Source organism: Homo sapiens, chromosome 20, assembly GCF_000001405.40.
Source record: "Homo sapiens chromosome 20, GRCh38.p14 Primary Assembly".
NCBI lineage: Eukaryota > Metazoa > Chordata > Mammalia > Primates > Hominidae > Homo > Homo sapiens.
The window spans coordinates 41,509,766-41,527,903 of record NC_000020.11 but is presented as its reverse complement, the minus strand read 5'-3'; the positions used below and the strand labels follow the sequence as shown (position 1 = coordinate 41,527,903).

The 18,138-nt window shown below is 40.7% G+C and overlaps 1 protein-coding gene across 14 annotated transcripts in view; it reads left to right on the top strand.

Moving 5' to 3' along the window:
• The window catches only part of CHD6 (chromodomain helicase DNA binding protein 6), a 216,295-nt gene that overhangs the window by 90,474 nt on the left and 107,683 nt on the right, over positions 1 to 18,138 (top strand). For all 14 annotated transcript variants that reach the window (NM_032221.5, XM_047440549.1, XM_047440545.1 and 11 more), the window contains 2 exons: positions 12,952 to 13,099; positions 14,909 to 15,058. In NM_032221.5, coding sequence (NP_115597.3) covers positions 12,952 to 13,099; positions 14,909 to 15,058 — 298 coding nt within the window. The remainder of the gene's footprint in view (positions 1 to 12,951; positions 13,100 to 14,908; positions 15,059 to 18,138) is intronic.

Here is an 18,138-nt window from a genome sequence, read left to right as displayed (position 1 = left end):
AGAGGGCTACTCTCAAGAGAATCCACTCCTGTGATAACAATATTCATCCATTCATGAGTCCAGAGCCACCTGACCTGATCTCCTCTTATTAGACCCCAACCCCCGACACTGCTGCATTGGACATGAGGTTTCCAACACAGGAATTTTGGGGGACAAATTCAGATTATAGCAAGAACTGTTATGCAGTAGATCTGTGCTCAACAACAGTTTTTGCATCTAATGCTTCTAAATGCCTGTGAATTTCATTTTTTTCTTCCTGAAATAGCCTTTAGTAAAAAGTCAGCTTCGTGGCATTAAGGCACAGCCGAGTGAGCAGGAAAGATGATCCATTTCAGTTGTGTATGAAGCCTTCTGATTCTTTTACTCTATATCCAGGGAGTGAGTATCTGAGGAGTAGGTCTGTAGCCAGCTCTTTAGGTTGCCCTTTCTCACATAGGGAGCCAAGCATTTTGACTGAGCTGAAGGTTGCTTCTTTTTTTTTTTGAGACAGGGTCTCGCTCTGTCGCCCAGGCTGGAGTGCAGTGGTGTGATCTCGGCTCACTGCAATCTCCACCTCCCGGGTTCAAGCAGTTCTGCTTCAGCCTCCCGAGTAGCTGGGACACCACACCCAGTTTATTTTTTGTATTTTTAGTAGAGACGGGGTTTTGCTATGTTGGCCGGGCTGGTCTTGAACTCCTGTCCTCAAGTGATTTGCTTGCCTGGCCTCTTAAAGTGCTGGGATTACAGGCATGAGCCATGGTGCCCAGCCTGAATGTTGCTTTTAAAAGCTAGGGTCTTGAGTTTTGGTGTTCATGTTGTTGGTGAGGGCAGAGGATGAGCTTTGGAATTTCCACACATATGAGAATGGTTCATATTCTTTCTTGCAAGTCAAGAAATTAGTCAATGTGCTGGCCCAAGTGGAGGTCTATCTACCTGGATCTCTGGTCCTCAGACTTTGCTGTGCCTAGGGAACTACCTGGACAGCTTGTTAGAAAAGTGGATTCCCCAGAGAGAATGATTAGGTCTGGGGTGGAACCCAGGAATTTGCAGTTCAAAATTCTCCCAGGTAATTAGAGTGTGGCTGATTCTTAGATTATCCTTTGAGAAACATGTTTCCCAGGTGAAAGATCACAGGAAAAGTGGAGCCTGTGTAAGTTTTTATATGTAACGTCTGCTAGGAATGAAAAAGCAAAAAGAGGAAAAGAAGTGGTTGGTGTGATCAGCCCCAGTTTCAGTTTTTCATCCCCATTTGTTTGGTTTGTCAGCCCAGAGCAGATTTTTCTCCCAAATCCAGCATTTTACCTTTTTTCGCTTTCATCTGTGATGATTGCTTCTGCGAAGTGTTAAACCCCAGGCCTTCTGATTATATAACCATTTGAGCTGCCTGATTGCCGCTGAGTCAGCTGATAACTGTGTGGTGCAGGAAGAGTAGTAGAACTCAACTACCTTTCCTCCTCACAAGAGCTGGTGGCTCTTTCTCATTTATTTGAAGGTCAATCAGCTATCTGTTTAGAGAGATCTTTATTGAGGCTAATTTCAGGTTCAAGAGATTACATTAGTGGGGTTCTTTCTGTTGGGAGACTTGTTTTTACATTGTGACCATTTATTAGAATAAAGAAGACATAACGGTGTGTATGAGTCCTCAGTAGAGACCCTGAGCTTGGAACCCATTGGACTTCATGTTAACCAGGGAAGAAATCTAAATGGTAATGTCAGAGACCCACCTTGGAAGCTTTGCACTAAGTCTTTATTTCTGGGGTTTTTGTTTTTTTTTTTAAGAGCATCAGAAGTGCTTACTCTGTGGCCTGGTGCATAGTAGACCTTTACCAAATCTGTAAGGAAAGAGTTACTAAATAATAATGCTTGATAAATGCCTACTCATTTATCCAGTATATTTTTATTGCCTCTTCTGTGTCTTGCTTTATGAGTTTTTTTATAGGGAAAGGAAGCAAAGTGTCACAGAAGTATCTATGAGACTAGTCATTGAGGTACTTTTATGAATTTGAGGTGCTTTTCACAAGAAGCAACCTTGACAAGTGTTCAAGACACAGGCAAAAATATAAACAAATGAAAAACCTGATATAACTGCATACAGAGTAGCTGAAAGGATTTAGAAGGTAAAGAGTATGTCATTTCTGGTCTGGGGAGTCCCTTGGAAGAGATGAGTATTGATCCAGTTATTAAAGAAATTAATAGATGAGAAAAGGCTTAAAGCAAAAAGACCAAAAGACATTTAAACAAATGTTCTTTTTAGGGGCTTCCAGATTTTAAGATGGTACACGCAGCCTGCTTTCATTTTCACTTCTTATCCAAATCTTACTGAAATGATAGGAAGAACAGAGGGGAAGAAATATTTCACAGATGAGAGCTATTACTGAATTTCTGGACAAAGAAGTCCAGTGGGATCATACTGGTGGATAAATGGTGTGGAGGGAGTCCTAGCTCAGAGCTCAGGCAGGCGCTGTGTTTGCAGCAAACATAGAGGTGTTTCCTCCTTGCAATGGAGCAGGCAGCTCTGGAGGAGGGATTGGAGGCAGGCCAGAAGCGGAGGTGGCTGATTAAGGGACTGTCTGCAGAATGGCTGTGTGGTTTGTCAGCTCCAGGATGAACTCAGGCAATTACTCTAAGGATATTGGGCAGTTTGCCCTGGGGAAGGGGCTAGGGCTCCATATAAGGAATGACACCCACAGGAAGGGGGCACAGGGCACTAACTTCTCTGCCCTTCCCTGCCCATACCCTAAAAAGTGGAGGGAGGGACAGCCACTTGACAAGTCTTGCCATGTGTACGGTGTCCTAGGCCAGGCTTCCTATTCAGGGGCGAGGCTTGTAGAGAAAGCAGTTTACTCGGCAGCAGAGGAGAGCCTCACCAGGCACCTGTATTACCAGCCTAGTTGATTTTCAATAGGAAATCAGTCTACTGAAGACCCCAAGACCGTAGAGGAAAACGAGCAGCATAAAGCAGGAAAAGGAAGAAAGAAAAGAACAACTGTCATCAGAAGAAATAATTCAAGGAAAAGAATGAACACATTTTAAATTAGCATCCTCAGATTGAGGTTATTTTGTCTGCAACACAAGAATGGGTCATGACAGAGGAGCAATCAGAAAAGCAAAGAATTAATGAAAATTTAAAGTGTGGTTGCCTCCACTAAGAGAGTTCAACGAAAATACTGAGTAGGGACAGCAACAGGGGAGGTATATGAGATCTGAATTCATCAACTTTCCTATCAGGATGTCAGTAGCCATTGCTTAATGTTGATAAATAATGAACTAGAAGCATGAGCGTATTTGGGGTTAGAGAGGCATCAGTCAAAAGTGATCCTCTCTGGGGATTTGGTGTACTGAGGATGGGTTATACTTTTTATTTGAAACTCTTCTATACTTTCTGAATTTTTATTTTCAGTTACTTTTATTACTTTTGATAGGACTACTTGGTAAAACTCTGCTTTTTCATCTTAAGAGGAAGTAATCTTTTTGTTTCCTTTTTACTAGGACAATATCACAAACCTCTCTAATCTCCATTTTGAAGGTGTTGATGATACGGTTAAAGGGACTGACAGGGCAGATTTAGTTCACAGTTTATCTACAGCAGATTATATCTGTACCAAAATAATTAGGGTCTTTTTATATTTTTTCTTTTAACTAGTATCTTTAAAAAATCAATACCAACTCAGTTTTCTATGTAGACTCAGTTAATACCGGTATTATGGAAAAGCTGAATCAAGTGTGCAAATGAGCTTTTTCAAGGTGATATCCATGTTTTCAGTATTGTACTCCTGGGAAGAAGATCAAAGCCTATAGGAAGGTCAGTGCTGGAAGCTTCTCTGAAGCATTGTTGCTGGAGTGGAGTAGTGGTTCCTGGACTGGACTTCTGAGACTCTACATGTCTTTGGAGGCAGTCATTGGGATCATGAGCTATTTTCGGTGGCTGTAGTAGTAACGCATTCTTTCCGTAAGGCTCTGATGGATATTTTATAAGGTTTTAATTTTAAAATGAGAAGATGAATCATTTTGAATTAATGCATCTTAGTAGATAAGAGCTTTCAATACCTGGAGTCCACGGGGACAGAGCCATAAAAGATTCATAGTAGTACGATGTCGTGACATGTACCCATATCTTTCCTCGTACTCAGATTCAGCACTCACTTCCTAACTCTCAGTTCTAGCAAAGAAACCTGGAGGTTAGAAACTGGAGATATGCTTGAAGAGAAAGTTTGAGAAATCCTAGTGCTTTCATATGATAATGAAATTTCCTATTTGGAAAGCAAAAAAAAAAACAAAAAACAAAAAACACGTTTTTTCTAGGACAAACTACAGAAAGTAAAGATGCACAAAATCTTCTTGGCTGATGAAGCCATGTGGAAGACAGGATAAAAGCTTTGATGGTTATAACTAATAGTTGTCCTACATGTATGATATAACTGATTGGGAGTTTCTTGCATGTCATAAATGCATAGTAGGTACTTTCTTTAAAGTGGAGATATGTTTGATTGTAAAATCAAGTTTTAATAAAAAATAGTTACTTTGACTCTCAAAAATGTTATTTCTTCCTTTTTTTCCTTGCAAGTTAGTTTGTTCTAACTCTGAAAGCTATTAATAAAAAAGAGGATTATAGAAATAAGATTGCTTTGATTCAAGCTCCTGTGCCATTAATTGGTGGGAGTATTAGGCCTTTGTATTATTCAGAACTCTCTTGGTTACAAGTAACATAAACCCAATCAAATTAGCTTAAGTTAGAAAAAAATGATGATGAGGTTCACTGGCTTAAGGAATCAGAACCAGGAAGTTTAGTTGAGACCAAGGCAGTTTGTCTTCAGTGACCCCCTGTGCCTGTCTGGGTGCCACTCCATTCTTTGCAAATGCATTCCTCTCAAGGCTGGAATCATGGCTGCCCATAGCTGTGGGCTTACAGCTTAACAACTTCATGACCTAGGAAGAAAGATTCATTTTCCTACCCACTCCTGCATATATATATATATTTTAAAGGAAGGACTCCCAGATTAGTCTGGCTGGGTCATGTGTCCATCCTGGACCAATCACCATGGTAAAAAGAATAGGGTACGATAGCCCAGTCTGACCTTCTGCCAGAGCTCTTTTATAGTCTAGGAATCAGTATTGGTTGTCAGAAGAAAAGATGCCAAACACAGTATCCACTTCTGCAGTGGAATAGACGTATGTCAAGATAAATTATTTTTTAAAGTGTATATATGTATATATACTTATATTATAAACTTATTTCAATAAATATCTATTTATGTATGTGTGTGTGCGCGCACGCGTGCGCGCATGTTTCCTGAACCAGTTGCAAACAAGTTACGTATGTCAGGCCTTTTTGTCCCTAAATACATCAGTGTGTCTTTCCTAAGTTCTTATTCTTCTGTAACCATTGTCTAGTTATTCTTTTCGTTCCCTTATAACTAATAAGTAATCTGCAGGGAGACATTTTAAGATCATGCAAATATCCTGCTTCTCTTCACATCTTTCTCCCAAGATTTAGCATCCCTTGATGATTCTGCACCATGCGCATCTTTTCTACGTTGGTTACAAAATGGGTTTTTTTGGTTTGTTATTTTGTTTTTTTTGAGACAGGGTCTTGCTCTGTCACCCAGGCTGGTGTGCAGTGGCACAATCATGACTGACTACAGCCTCAACCATCTGGGCTCAATCAATCCTCCCATCTCAGCCTCCCAAGTACCTGGGACTACAGGCATGCACCATCATGTGTGGCTGATTTTTTTTCCCGATTTTTTTGTAGAGATGGGGTTTCACTATGCTGCCAGTCTGGTCTCAAACTTCTGACCTCAAGCCATCCTCCTGCCCCAGCCTACCAAAGTGCTGATATTACAGGCGTGAGCCACTGCACCCAGCCTCAAAATTATTTTCTAACTACCACTTCCTTTACAGTTACCATTTGTATTTTGTAGTAAACAAGAGCTCCCCCTTATCCCTTATTCATTATTTATGTATGTCTCATTGGTATGGATTCCTATTGTTTTCAGTGACTTATAATTCTTTACTGTCCTCAATTACTTTGGTGTTCAGATGGTCTCAGTTTTGGGCAACGAAAGCTCTTCAAGCTAACTTATTTGTCATTTTGACATGCCATGTTTATTTTTCTAAACACCCTCTTACTTTCTGACATAGCAGGATGTTTCGGGCTCATCGTCTGTCTTCCCTGCTTTAGCTTTGGAATCAGCCATTTCTGTGAGGAGCTTCAGTGTTAAACACCAAGATCTGAGTGTTAGGTGTACTCATTGCTGATAGGGCATCTTTGCTCTTAGGCCCTTTCTGTTGTCAAAACTAGGGGGAAAATACATACAAACGCGCACATATGAATATATGTACACACATATATACATATATCTACACACATATTATATGTGTATATATACACATGCACATATACATGCTTGTGTTCATACATGTTATAGAAGTCATGAGTTCAACTGATGATGCCTGCAGTTGAGATTCATCTGACAGTATCTCCCTTGCCTTATAGCATTTCATATTTGCCAGTTCCCAACATCAATACGTTCACTCGTTTGCTTAATCCTATGCCACATCTGAAATAGTTTCAGAGTCACTTCACCATTTAACTACCAAGAAAAAAAATTTCAGAATTGGTTTGCTATACTTTCCCCTTCCCCCAGAAGTGGAGAATATGTAGTCAAATGCTGTGTTAATCAATTAATGGAAGGGGTTTTATTCTCTGTGAGGTGTAGTTATACTACTTGTTTTAAACATACATGGATTCAGTTGTTTCAGCTTGTTTTCATCTTTAGTTTTTTATGTTTTAATATGTAGAACTTTAACAGATTTCCTAAAGGCAGATCTGTGTACAGAGGTATACTCAGAGAAGTGTCACTCCCTCCTGTATCCCTGCTACTGTTCTCTCCCCTACCCCTTGCAGGTAGATAGACATTGTGGGGTTTTTTGTTTACCCTTCCTCTGTTTCTTTTTGTATTAATAGATGTGTACATGCTTTTTTATTTTCCCTTTATTCTTACACAAAAGGTAGCATATTATACTCTTTTAACACTGCCTTTTTCACTTAAATATCTTTAGAAATCATTGCCTATCAGTTTGTAGAATTTTTTTTTAATTATTATTATACTTTAAGTTTTAGGGTACGTGTGCAGAACATGCAGGTTAGTTACATATGTATACATGTGCCATGTTGGTGTGCTGCATCCATTAACTTGTCATTTAACATTAGTTATATCTCCTAATGCTATCCCTCCCCCCTCCCCCGACCCCACAACAGGCCCCGGTGTGTGATGTTCCCCTTCCTGTGTCCATGTGTTCTCATTGTTCAGTTCCCACCTATGAGTGAGAACATGCGGTGTTTGGTTTTTTGTCCTTGTGATAGTTTGCTGAGAATGATGGTTTCCAGCTTCATCCATGTCCCTACAAAGAACATGAACTCATCATTTTTTATGGCTGCATAGTATTCCATGGTGTATATGTGCCACATTTTCTTAATCCAGTCTATCATTGTTGGACATTTGGGTTGGTTCCAAGTCTTTGCTATTGTGAATAGTGCCGCAGTAACATACGTGTGCATGTGTCTTTATAGCAGCATGATTTATAATCCTTTGGATATATACCCAGTAATGGGATTGCTGGGTCAAATGGTATTTCTACTTCTAGATCCCTGAGGAATCACCACACTGACTTCCACAATGGTTGAACTAGTTTACAGTCCCACCAACAGTGTAAAAGTGTTCCTATTTCTCCACATCCTCTCCAGCACCTGTTGTTTCCTGACTTTTTAATGATCACCATTCTAACTGGTGTGAGATGATATCTCATTGTGGTTTTGATTTGCGTTTCTCTCATGGCCAGTGATGATGAGCATTTTTTCATGTGTCTTTTGGCGGCATAAATGTCTTCTTTCGAGAAATGTCTGTTCATATCCTTCACCCATTTTTTGATGGGGTTGTTTTTTTCTTACAAATTTGTTTTGAGCTCGTTGCTGATTCTGGATATTAGCCCTTTGTCAGATGAGTAGATTGCAAGAATTTTCTCCCATTCTGTAGGTTGCCTGTTCACTCTGATGGTAGTTTTTTTGCTGTGCAGAAGCTCTTTAGTTTAATTAGATCCCATTTGTCAATTTTGGCTTTTGTTGCCATTGCTTTTGGTGTTTTAGTCATGAAGTCCTTGCCCATGCCTGTGTCCTGAATGGTATTGCCTAGATTTTCTTCTAGGGTTTTTATGGTTTTAGGTCTAACATTTAAGTCTTTAATCCATCTTGGATTAATTTTGTATAAGGTGTAAGGAAGGGATCCAGTTTCAGCTTTCTACATATGGCTAGCCAGTTTTCCCAGCACCATTTATTAAATAGGGAATTGTTTCCTGCAGTTTGTAGAATTCTTTCTTAATTGTTTTTATAGCTGTCTAGTATTACATTGTATATATCCTAATTTATTCAGTCATTTATGTTTAGATAGGTAGTTTTCATTATTTTACAATTACCAAAAAATGTTGTAATAAATAACCTCATGAATATGTGTTTTTATATCGTGTGATATATCTTTAGATTACATTCCTGTAAGTAGATTGCTGAGTCAAAGATTATTTGCATATGTAGTTTTGTTAGATCCTGTTTATCCACTTTGTTTTTGTTTGTTTGTTTGTTTGTTTTTGAGACAGGGTCTGACTCTGACAGTCAGGTTGGAGTGCAGTGGCATGATCTGTGCTCACTGCAACCTCTGCCTTCCAGGCTCAAACAATTCTCCCACCTCAGCCTCCCAAGTAGCGGGGACCACAGGCCTGCGCCACCATGCCCGGCTAATTTTTGTATTTTTTTGTAGAGACGGGGTTTCGCCATATTGCCCAGGCTGGTCTTGAACTCCTGAGCTCAAGCAGTCTGCCTGCCTGGGCCTCCCAAAGTGCTGGGATTACAGTCATGAGCCACCACACCTGGCCTATCCATTATTTTTGAAGAACCTGGAACTTCAAGGAGCAAACAAATATTCATGGGCCAAATCATCTATAGGTATAGCAGTTTGGAGATTGAAATGTCTTCAGTTGATAAAACTCTCAAGCATAAGGTTTTTAAAACTTTTTCCAAAGAGCAGAAATATATACCTTATCTGGTCTTTTTAGAGGATGAATTCAGATGGTATTTTCTTAATATCCTATTTGAAGATCCCACTTGTAAGCTTTCAGGGAATCTTTTCTTCCTGAAACTTGACTTTATCAGAAGAGCTCCAGAAAGAATTTTTGGAACTTAAAATGGCTTGTCTTGCCAAAGGTAACCTCCAAAAAATCACTTTGAAGATTTCCCAAGTAGAGTATCTTCTTCTTTACCTGCAAATAAGGGAGCACGTTTCTGCCGGTATTTTCCTATTTTACTGACAAATATTTGAGAAAGTATTTCCAGGCTACCTAACCCCCAGCTTCTGTCTGGGAAAATCTAGTAGCGCCTCAGGCTTGACTTGGAAAGTGCTTCACCATGATTCCCCCCTCCTTTCAACATTTAACATGTTGCTCAAAATGCACACAAGTCTCCTAGTGAAGTGTCATATTTTGAGGAAGTTCTATTCCTTAGTTATGATTTGGGCTTGGTTTAGCTTTGAGTATGATGTTCCACAGTGAAGCACATGATTCTAGCATGTGGGCACGCGCGCACGCACACACACATATACACACAATAAATATTTAAAATGAAGGTTAAACATATACAGACAGTGTTCTAATATAATGAAGTTACGTTTAGTAAGTAGATGAAATTGATTTCAAATGCTGGAAAGAAAGATTTAAGATTGTACAGAAGATTCAGAGGCCACTGAGCATGTGATTATTAGGGTGACTTTTGGGATATTGTAAGCTTTCTTTAAATTTGTGTCAAAGAAACCTTTTTCTAAGAGAGCTATAAAAAACTATCAACATCTATGAATTTGTGAATTTTATATATTTGGGTCATTGGAATGTTGCTGATTTTTTAAACCATTATTTTGAGATTCAAATAACATTAAAGGATATTTGAAGTTTTTACATTTACTAAAAGGGAGACTGGGATTTTAGAAAAAAAGAGGCAAAATACATGACTTGGTATGAAAAAGTAATACCCTGTGACTCAGCTGACCTGAGCGTAAGCCTCTGCCCTGCTGCTGACTTTGGGGCATTTGCTGCTTTTAAATCTCAGTTTTCCTCATCTGGAATATGGGGATTATTTGTCCTGGCTCCCTCATGGGATTGGGATGAGACATGGAATTCATAAGTACTTTGTAGAATGTAATTTGCTATGCAGTTTTCTTAATGAGGAGCCACATAACATGAGATAAAGACTCATGTGAAAATTTAGCATCTTTTAAAACTGTTTTACCTGAGTCTCCTCTTCTGAACTGATAAGAAAAGGAAGAACTTTTGCTTTTTCCCCTGCTTAAGGGTACAAGTCCCTTGTTAAAAATCGGTAATCCTCAAAAATGGCATGACCCCTAGAGTTTCAGTTCTTTAGGTTGGATCAAAATAGTTTTGTTTTGTTTTTTTAACTTTTAAGTTCAGAGGTACAAATGCAGGTTTGTTACATAAGTAAACTTATGTCATGGTGGTTGGTTGTATAGATTATTTCATCCCCCAGGTATTAAGCCTAGTATCCATTAGTTATTTTTCCTGATCCTCTACCTGCTCCCATCCTCCACCCTCCAAAAGGCCCTAGTGTGTGTCATTCCCCTCTATGTGTCCATATATTCTCATCATTTAGCTCCCACTTGTAAGTGAGAACATGCAGTATTTGGTTTTCTGTTCCTGTGTTAGTTTGCAAATAGCTTTCATCATGAACTTTCCTGGTAGGTAGGCAAGCCCGTCTCCAGCCTGGGGAATAGAAGCTGGGCAGAGTTTGTGCTGACCTGGTTAGGGACATATGAAGGGTGACGGGTGTTCAAGAGGGAAGCAGGCAGATTGAGCGATCAGCACTGGCTGGTTCGTGTGCTTGATCACCCCTCTGAGCCAGGTCATCCAGTTTCCTTCTCTTCCCCAAACTTTCTACTAACTCTCCTGATGGGAAGTACCAGTGTTGGCTCTTCTTGTTCCCCACTTTCTGTCACTTGCCGAGACTTCCTGGTTCTACTCCTGCTGGGCCTTTCAAAGCATTTCCACCCTTGAAAGGCTTCATTCCCTCTTTCCTGGACCTGCTTTCATGGCCCTTTTCACGCAGAATGAAGTCTAAACTTCCTGGCCTGGTGCACCCTTGATTTTTCCTTTGAGCTCCATCACATAGTGCTTCTGTTCACTTGCCCTGTTATCCAGACACAGAGCCAGCTATCTTTTACTAAATGTATCCAAAACACTGTTCTATTCCCCAAGAATGCTATGATCAAGAGCACAGACTCCACTCGGGTTCACATCTTGTCTCTGCCATTTACTAACCCTGTTGCCCTGGAAATCTAACTTAACCTCGCCATGCCTCAGATTCCTCAAGATAAAATGAGAATAAGAATACCATCTGCTGGCCAGGTGTGGTGGCTCACACCTGTAATCTCAGCACTCTGGAAGGCTGAGGCAGGCAGATCATTTGAGGTCAGGAGTTTTAGACCAGCCTGGCCAACATGATGAAACCCCATCTCTACTAAAAATACTGAAAACAAACAAAAACAATTAGCCATGCGTGGTGACGGACACCTGTAATCCCAGCTACAGGGGAGACTGAGGCAGGAGAATTAAACGTGGGAGGTAGAGGTTGCAGTGAGCCAAGATCACGCCACTGCACCCCATCCTGGGCAACAGCGCGAGACTCCGTCTAAAAAAAAAAAAAATTACCATCTGCTTTACAGGGCTGTTGTGAAGAGCAAAGGCAATAATTCATGTAAAAGAATGTGCCTGCATATAGTAATTATTATATAAAGTATTAGCTGCAATCATTAGTTATTGTTATTCCTACTACTGTCTGTCAGAATTATGTTTTTATATGTGCACATATATGTATCTCTGCTCAAATGCATGTTCTCAAATCTCCCCATTCACAGTTAATCATAGCCATTCATTAATGCATCCATCTATCCATTGCTTAAAAAGCAGTTTTAAGGCTTGCTTAAATATTAATTGAATACTTACTATGCATAAAGCATAAGACTACTCACTCTGAGGAATACAAAACATAGTCAAGCACATACTGCCCTCTAGGAACTTCGAGTCTGATAAGAGAGATCAGAGAAGCATAAAATACTCATTTATCCAGGATAGCAAATGTTTATTGAGCAACTGTAGAGGATCCAGGCACTGTATTTAGTTATGTGAATTCTGAGCCTCATATTGTAGTTAACAACTAATTCTGGTGAAAGGTCGTTTAAGCAAAGTATAGTTGGAAGTGCTTTGGGAGTGTAGGAAAGAGATTTTACCAGCTAGGAAGGCCAGGAAAGGCCTTTTAGAGAAAATGTTGCCATCTTAGCAGGGCCTTGCAGGGTGGATGGACTTGGCCCATCTCTACCTCTCTGAGGAAGCATTCATGTACTGCCTTGGGCTGTGGTTGTAGGTGAACTGTAGGATTTTCATAATTGTAAGCTTGTCAAGGGCAGAGGCAGTGTTCTCTTCATTTTTGAGTGCCTAGTGTTCACTCCAGGTCCAGCGTGTACTCAATAGAGGTTGGTGACAGATTAGGGAGATGTCTCTTCCTAAGAAACTTAAAGGGAGATTGTAATTTGATGATTCTTAGTATCTGTGAAGCAGTTGAACTTCCTAGAGAAGACATTTGTATAAACTGAAAGTGAAGTTTTTGGAGATGTTCATATTATTTCTTACATATTAATTGTAGCTATAATAGTCATGATGGGGTGTAATAAAGTGAATTCTGCATTGATCCATGTAGATATTTCCATGTTTCTGTTTATTTCTTGGAAGAAACTCTTGTAGATTCCCCATTAAAGCCTGCCCTGGTCCTAGAATTCCAGGATGTGATTTCATGACGTTGATCACATGAGAAATCTTAGTTTTAAAAACTGCCCAACAGTTTTAATTCTGAATTTCTCCTTGTAGCAAGGAGCAAGGACCAACCCCAGTGGAGAAAAAGAAGAAAGGAAAAAGGAAAAGTGAAACTACAGTGGAGAGTTTAGAGCTGGATCAGGGCCTGACGAACCCATCTCTGCGGAGTCCTGAGGAGTCCACTGAGTCTACAGACAGCCAGGTACAGCTGTGACCGGGAGGCCTGGTGGAGATTACGGCTCCTGGATGGGATCTGGCTGACACTGATCGTGTTGCTCCTCTATGCCTTTCTCTAGCACACTCCCTAGCCCTGGGCTGGGCTTTTACCGTTTTGGTGGGTGAGCAGGTAGACTGTAGTCTTTTGCCCTAGCCCGATCAGTATACTAATGATATCCCAGTTTTTTAGTGGTATTTGCCTCATTCCTGGAAGGTAGCAGGATATTAGGCTGCAGAGGGAGTTGATGTGGAAAATGAAGTTGTGAGCCAAGCTAGGTAAGGCCTCTTTTGCCATACAGGTAATGCATTTAGTGCTCAGAGTGCCAGGCCAGCCCGTACAGGGATATTTTCATAATCCCAGATGCTGGGAAAGTCAGAAATGTATCCATTATGCCAACAAGTAAGGAAGGTTTGGCCAAACTTGGAAACAAGGAGTTGCCCATCTAAACCAGATTCCTGAAAATATACCAAAATGTGCCCGTGACAGTGTTAGGGATTTTCTGAGTTGAGAACCTCTCTTGAGCATGAAGTCTAATATTTGAAAGTGCTTTGTTTCCTCTGATATTCTTAGCAATTTATCTGAGCCACTCTGCTGCAAGGCTCATTTAGAATAAGACTGACGTACTATACCTTCCAGGATCATCTGGACCTTCATGGGTTTCTCACTGCTCTTCCCTGTAGGAAAATGACAGCTAGTAATGTCATAGTATTAATAAGCAGCAGTGTCTGGTGTCAGAGCAGACTCCTCACTGCCTATAAACTGGGGCTGGTGGCTGTTAAGTGTCTAGATTGGCAGAGGAGCCAAGCACGTTGAGTTGATGGGATTTGGCAGGGAATTAGGTGTTTGTAGAATGGTGATCTGTATGTGGTGTTGGGGAGAGGTTTTTATGTGGAATCCCTCATATAAAGTAAAACATCATAGAGGTAACTTAGTGAAGAAGTGATAGGAACAGAAGAGAGACACTCAGGAGGTATCTTTTAGAAGAAAAGAGAGGTGGGATTTTGCTTTTGCTTTTGTTTTTTAAGATTTAAATATTTGAGAGTGAGCTGGCTGATAAATGGTTCCCTGAAGTGATTCTACTGTTGAGATATGATTAGTATGTAGAGATGGACTGTATGCTGCTCTATTTGTAGAAAGCCACTGGGCTGTTTTGTTGTTGATTATTAAAAGGTACAGCTTCTTAATTAGAGATGAATCCTTAGATCATCACACTCAAGGTGACTTAGGGACCTTGTTTTGTCACACTTAAGATGTCTCCCTGCATTTCAAGAAGTGTTACGAGATTCTCAAAGTAAATCCAAAAAATTGATACTAATTAGTTTTCAAACTACATTTTTAGAAGTATGTGGTAAGGATGGTGAATTTAAGCAAAAACAATAAAACTGTCATCATGTCATAAAATCTGTGCTTCCACCAAGTGCTGGAAGGGACCCCAAAGATGGTAGAGTTCAGCTCCCATCCTTGTTTTATTGGAGGAGAAGTGGATTCTGAAAGGGGGAAAGTCACTACCGTTGATGAACAAAACACATCTTACTGGACTATGAGACACTACCCCTTCTTTTTAGTGGATCATGGCAATTTGGAGATTGAGCTTTTGTTCTGTCCCCTACTCAGCTAGATCCCATTTTGACTGAATTTAGTCCTTTTATTAAAAGAGTTGTATTTAAGAAAGATTTCTTTTGTAAGGCAAGAAAGCACTCCTTGGCATGTTAGTAAATGTAGATGAGGGTATTCTTGTGTAGGCTGTTGTCTTTCACTCAGAGAGCTTCTCTGACGGGTGTGTTTGCCCTACAGAAACGACGCTCGGGAAGGCAAGTAAAGCGCAGAAAATACAATGAGGACCTGGACTTCAAAGTGGTGGATGATGATGGGGAAACAATTGCTGTTCTTGGAGCTGGTCGAACATCTGCACTCTCAGCCTCTACACTGGCCTGGCAGGCGGAGGTATGGCCTTTGCATGAGGTTACTGACCTTGGCTGGACAGTCATTTTGACCTAGATGACAGACGTGTTTCTTGGCCTTTGCTAAAGCATAAGTCAGATCATTTTAACTGCTGCTTGTGGCCTTCGATTGACTTCCTGTTGCATTGGGAATGACATTCAGACTCCTTACTGTGCTCAGCAGGACCCTCCACGATCACACTCTCGCCTTGTTTTGCCAAATTCTTCATTTTTTTAGATAAACAATTTTTCCCTGTCTCATTACTCTCCAGCCAAAAGACTGGCTGTCTTTTAATGCCTTGAACTAACAGTTCTTCTCTACCCATAGACCTTTGCCTCTGTTGTTCCTTCTGCTTGGGATGCTTTACGTGACTGGTTTATCAGTTTTGCCTAAAATGTTATCTCCTTAGAGAGGTTCTTCCTGATCTTTTATCTAAAGTAGATTCCTGCCCCTCATCCCAATGATATTCTGTTTCAGCCCCTTGTGTACTTCCTTAAAGCACTTACCACAACACAAATTGCATTTGAATGTGTCTGATCTCTGATTTTGTTTTACTTGTCTCTCATTAAAATGTGAAAGTCTTGGCCGGGCATTGTGGCTCACACCTGTAATCCCAGCACTTTTGGGAGTCCGAGGCAGGCAGATCACTTGAGGCCAGGAGTTCGAGATCAACATGGGCAACATGGCAAAACCCCATCTCTACAAAAAAAAAAATTAGCTGGGCATGGTGGTGCAGGCCTGTAATCCCAGCTACTTGGGAGATTGAGGCACAAGAATCACTTGAACCCAGGAAGCAGAGGTTGCAGTGAGCCAAGATCGCGTCATTATACTCCAGCCTGGGTGACAGAGCAAGACTGTGTCAAAGAAAAAAAAAATGTAAAAGTCTTTTGTATAATAAATCGCTGTTAAGTGGATGAGATCAAATGAACTAGTAATTACTGTTGGAACTCTAATTCAACAAGCATGTATTGCAAGTCTAGAAGAATGTGCTGGGTACAGAGGCTAACAGAAGCAGGAGTGGACAGGAAAGGAGTGGTCAGATGTATAGAAGACAAGAACTTAGGAGGAACATTTCCAACATGAACTTTATAAAACCCCAGAAACTGAATGGCACCGCAGGCTGTGATATGACAAATGGATAATCTTGGCTGGATGCTGGGGTATAATTTGAGGGGTGGTGAGAGAGGAGGACTGAGAGATAGGAGCAGTCACAGTATGAAGGGCCTTGAGTATCACCTAAGGTTTTTAGTTTTTATCCTGCAGATTGGACAAGGGATAGGAGGCATTGATGAGTTCAGGCAGAGGAGTAGGACCACTATATTTGCATTTTAGCAGTTTCCATTGACAGCAGTGTCAAGGAAGAAGATGATAGTATTAGCACTTAATACAGAGGTACTAGAAAGGAGAGAAGGGTTAAATGTTGAAAAAAAGAGGTCTGTGCCAAGGAGCTTATAGAGAAGAAATGAAAAGCAAGAGAAGAAGCAGGCTGTGCATGTAGGAGGGGCATTATTGCCAAGAGCACATTCTGGGACACGGCTGTCTGTTGTTATGGAGTCACTGTTGCTGACTTGGCAGAATTCACACTGTATGGAGCAGTAGCAGCACAAATATCTGTCGTTCCTCCTGGATGCTAGTGTGTCTTATGGAAACTGATAGTACTTAATCTTCCTCGACCACCTTGCCTCCAACTTAAAGCATTTTCATATAATTCCGCTTATTCTTTCACTCTGTGTTTGCATGGAAAGTAGCAGGGAGCAGGGACTATTGTCCCTATTTTAACAATGAAGAAACTGAAGCCCAGAACGATCCAGGTCAGAGTTACATAGCAGCAGTTAATCAGTGACTAGCATATAACAGTTGATTTCATGTCATGGTTATATTCATTACCCAACTAATGAATATAACACTTAGTAGGAATAATAATTTGATATATTGTCACTATAATACTTTTCAAGCAAATATTAATAGTTAAAAATAGCACTTGCAAGACTGCCATGAGGTGATAGAATTGTATTGCTTTGTAATGGGGTTTTCATTCCTTGGGGATGTTATGGTTGGTTTGGTAGTTAAAACACTATACAGGATTTTATTTTCTCCTAGTAGCCATTTGGCCTAAGCCATTAATCATATTTCAGATGTTGTTATGACTTCTCCCCTGGCACCTGAAGGGCATCAGTAGCTGATCTAACTAACAGAAATAATTCAGGAAATGTTATGTATCTTATTAAGACTCTTTTGTTTCTTCTAAGGATGTAGCAAACAGAGGGTTTATATATGGAGAAACATAAATTAGAATCTGAATTATATCTCAAAAAAATTTACTAAATTTAAGGAAGAGAGAGGCCTGATTCATGGTTTTGGCTTTGACATTCAGAGAAGCGACCATGTGGGGCTGGCCTCCGAGCCAAGGCCTGGCCTAGCATGCAGGGCAGGCTACACAACCAGTGAGGGGACTGGAGAGATCGGCTTACCGAGTGATTTTCAAAATTGGTGCTCTGTAGAGTCCTCGTTGCTGCAGAACCAAAACAGCTCCACTTAAAACTGTTTTTACATACTGGGCTTCCTGAGGAAGTTTGAGCAAAGATTTCCCACGCTAACGAAAAGCCTGAAAGCCTTGAATCTCATCTAGGATTCCAGGCAATCTCAAGGCACATGCAGTGGCACAGAAAATCATTGAAGAAGAGGTGGCTTTTTCCTATATCCTTCTCCCGGGGCCCTCTGGGTGGGTGTCTGCCTGCCTGCTAGCTTTAGCTCAGGGCAGAGAAGGGGATGGAGTCAGCACCAGAATGGCCCCACTGCCATCTCTGCAGATCTGTGCAGTATCTTCTCAGTGTGCTCAACGCAATTCTGTGACTGCTGGCCCTTGTCCCAGCCCCAGATCACAACCTCAGGATTGGTTACCAAGTGGTGAGTTGCGAAAACATCTTTACACAGGATTCGCTTTAGCTCAGGACTGGCATGTTATCACAGCTCTGCTTTGCACTCCATACCACAATCCCAAGCATGGGATTCAGGGGCAGGAAGTAAGTTTCCATCCTAAATGTGACTCTTTATTTTCTTATTCTTTGTCAAACTGATTTTGG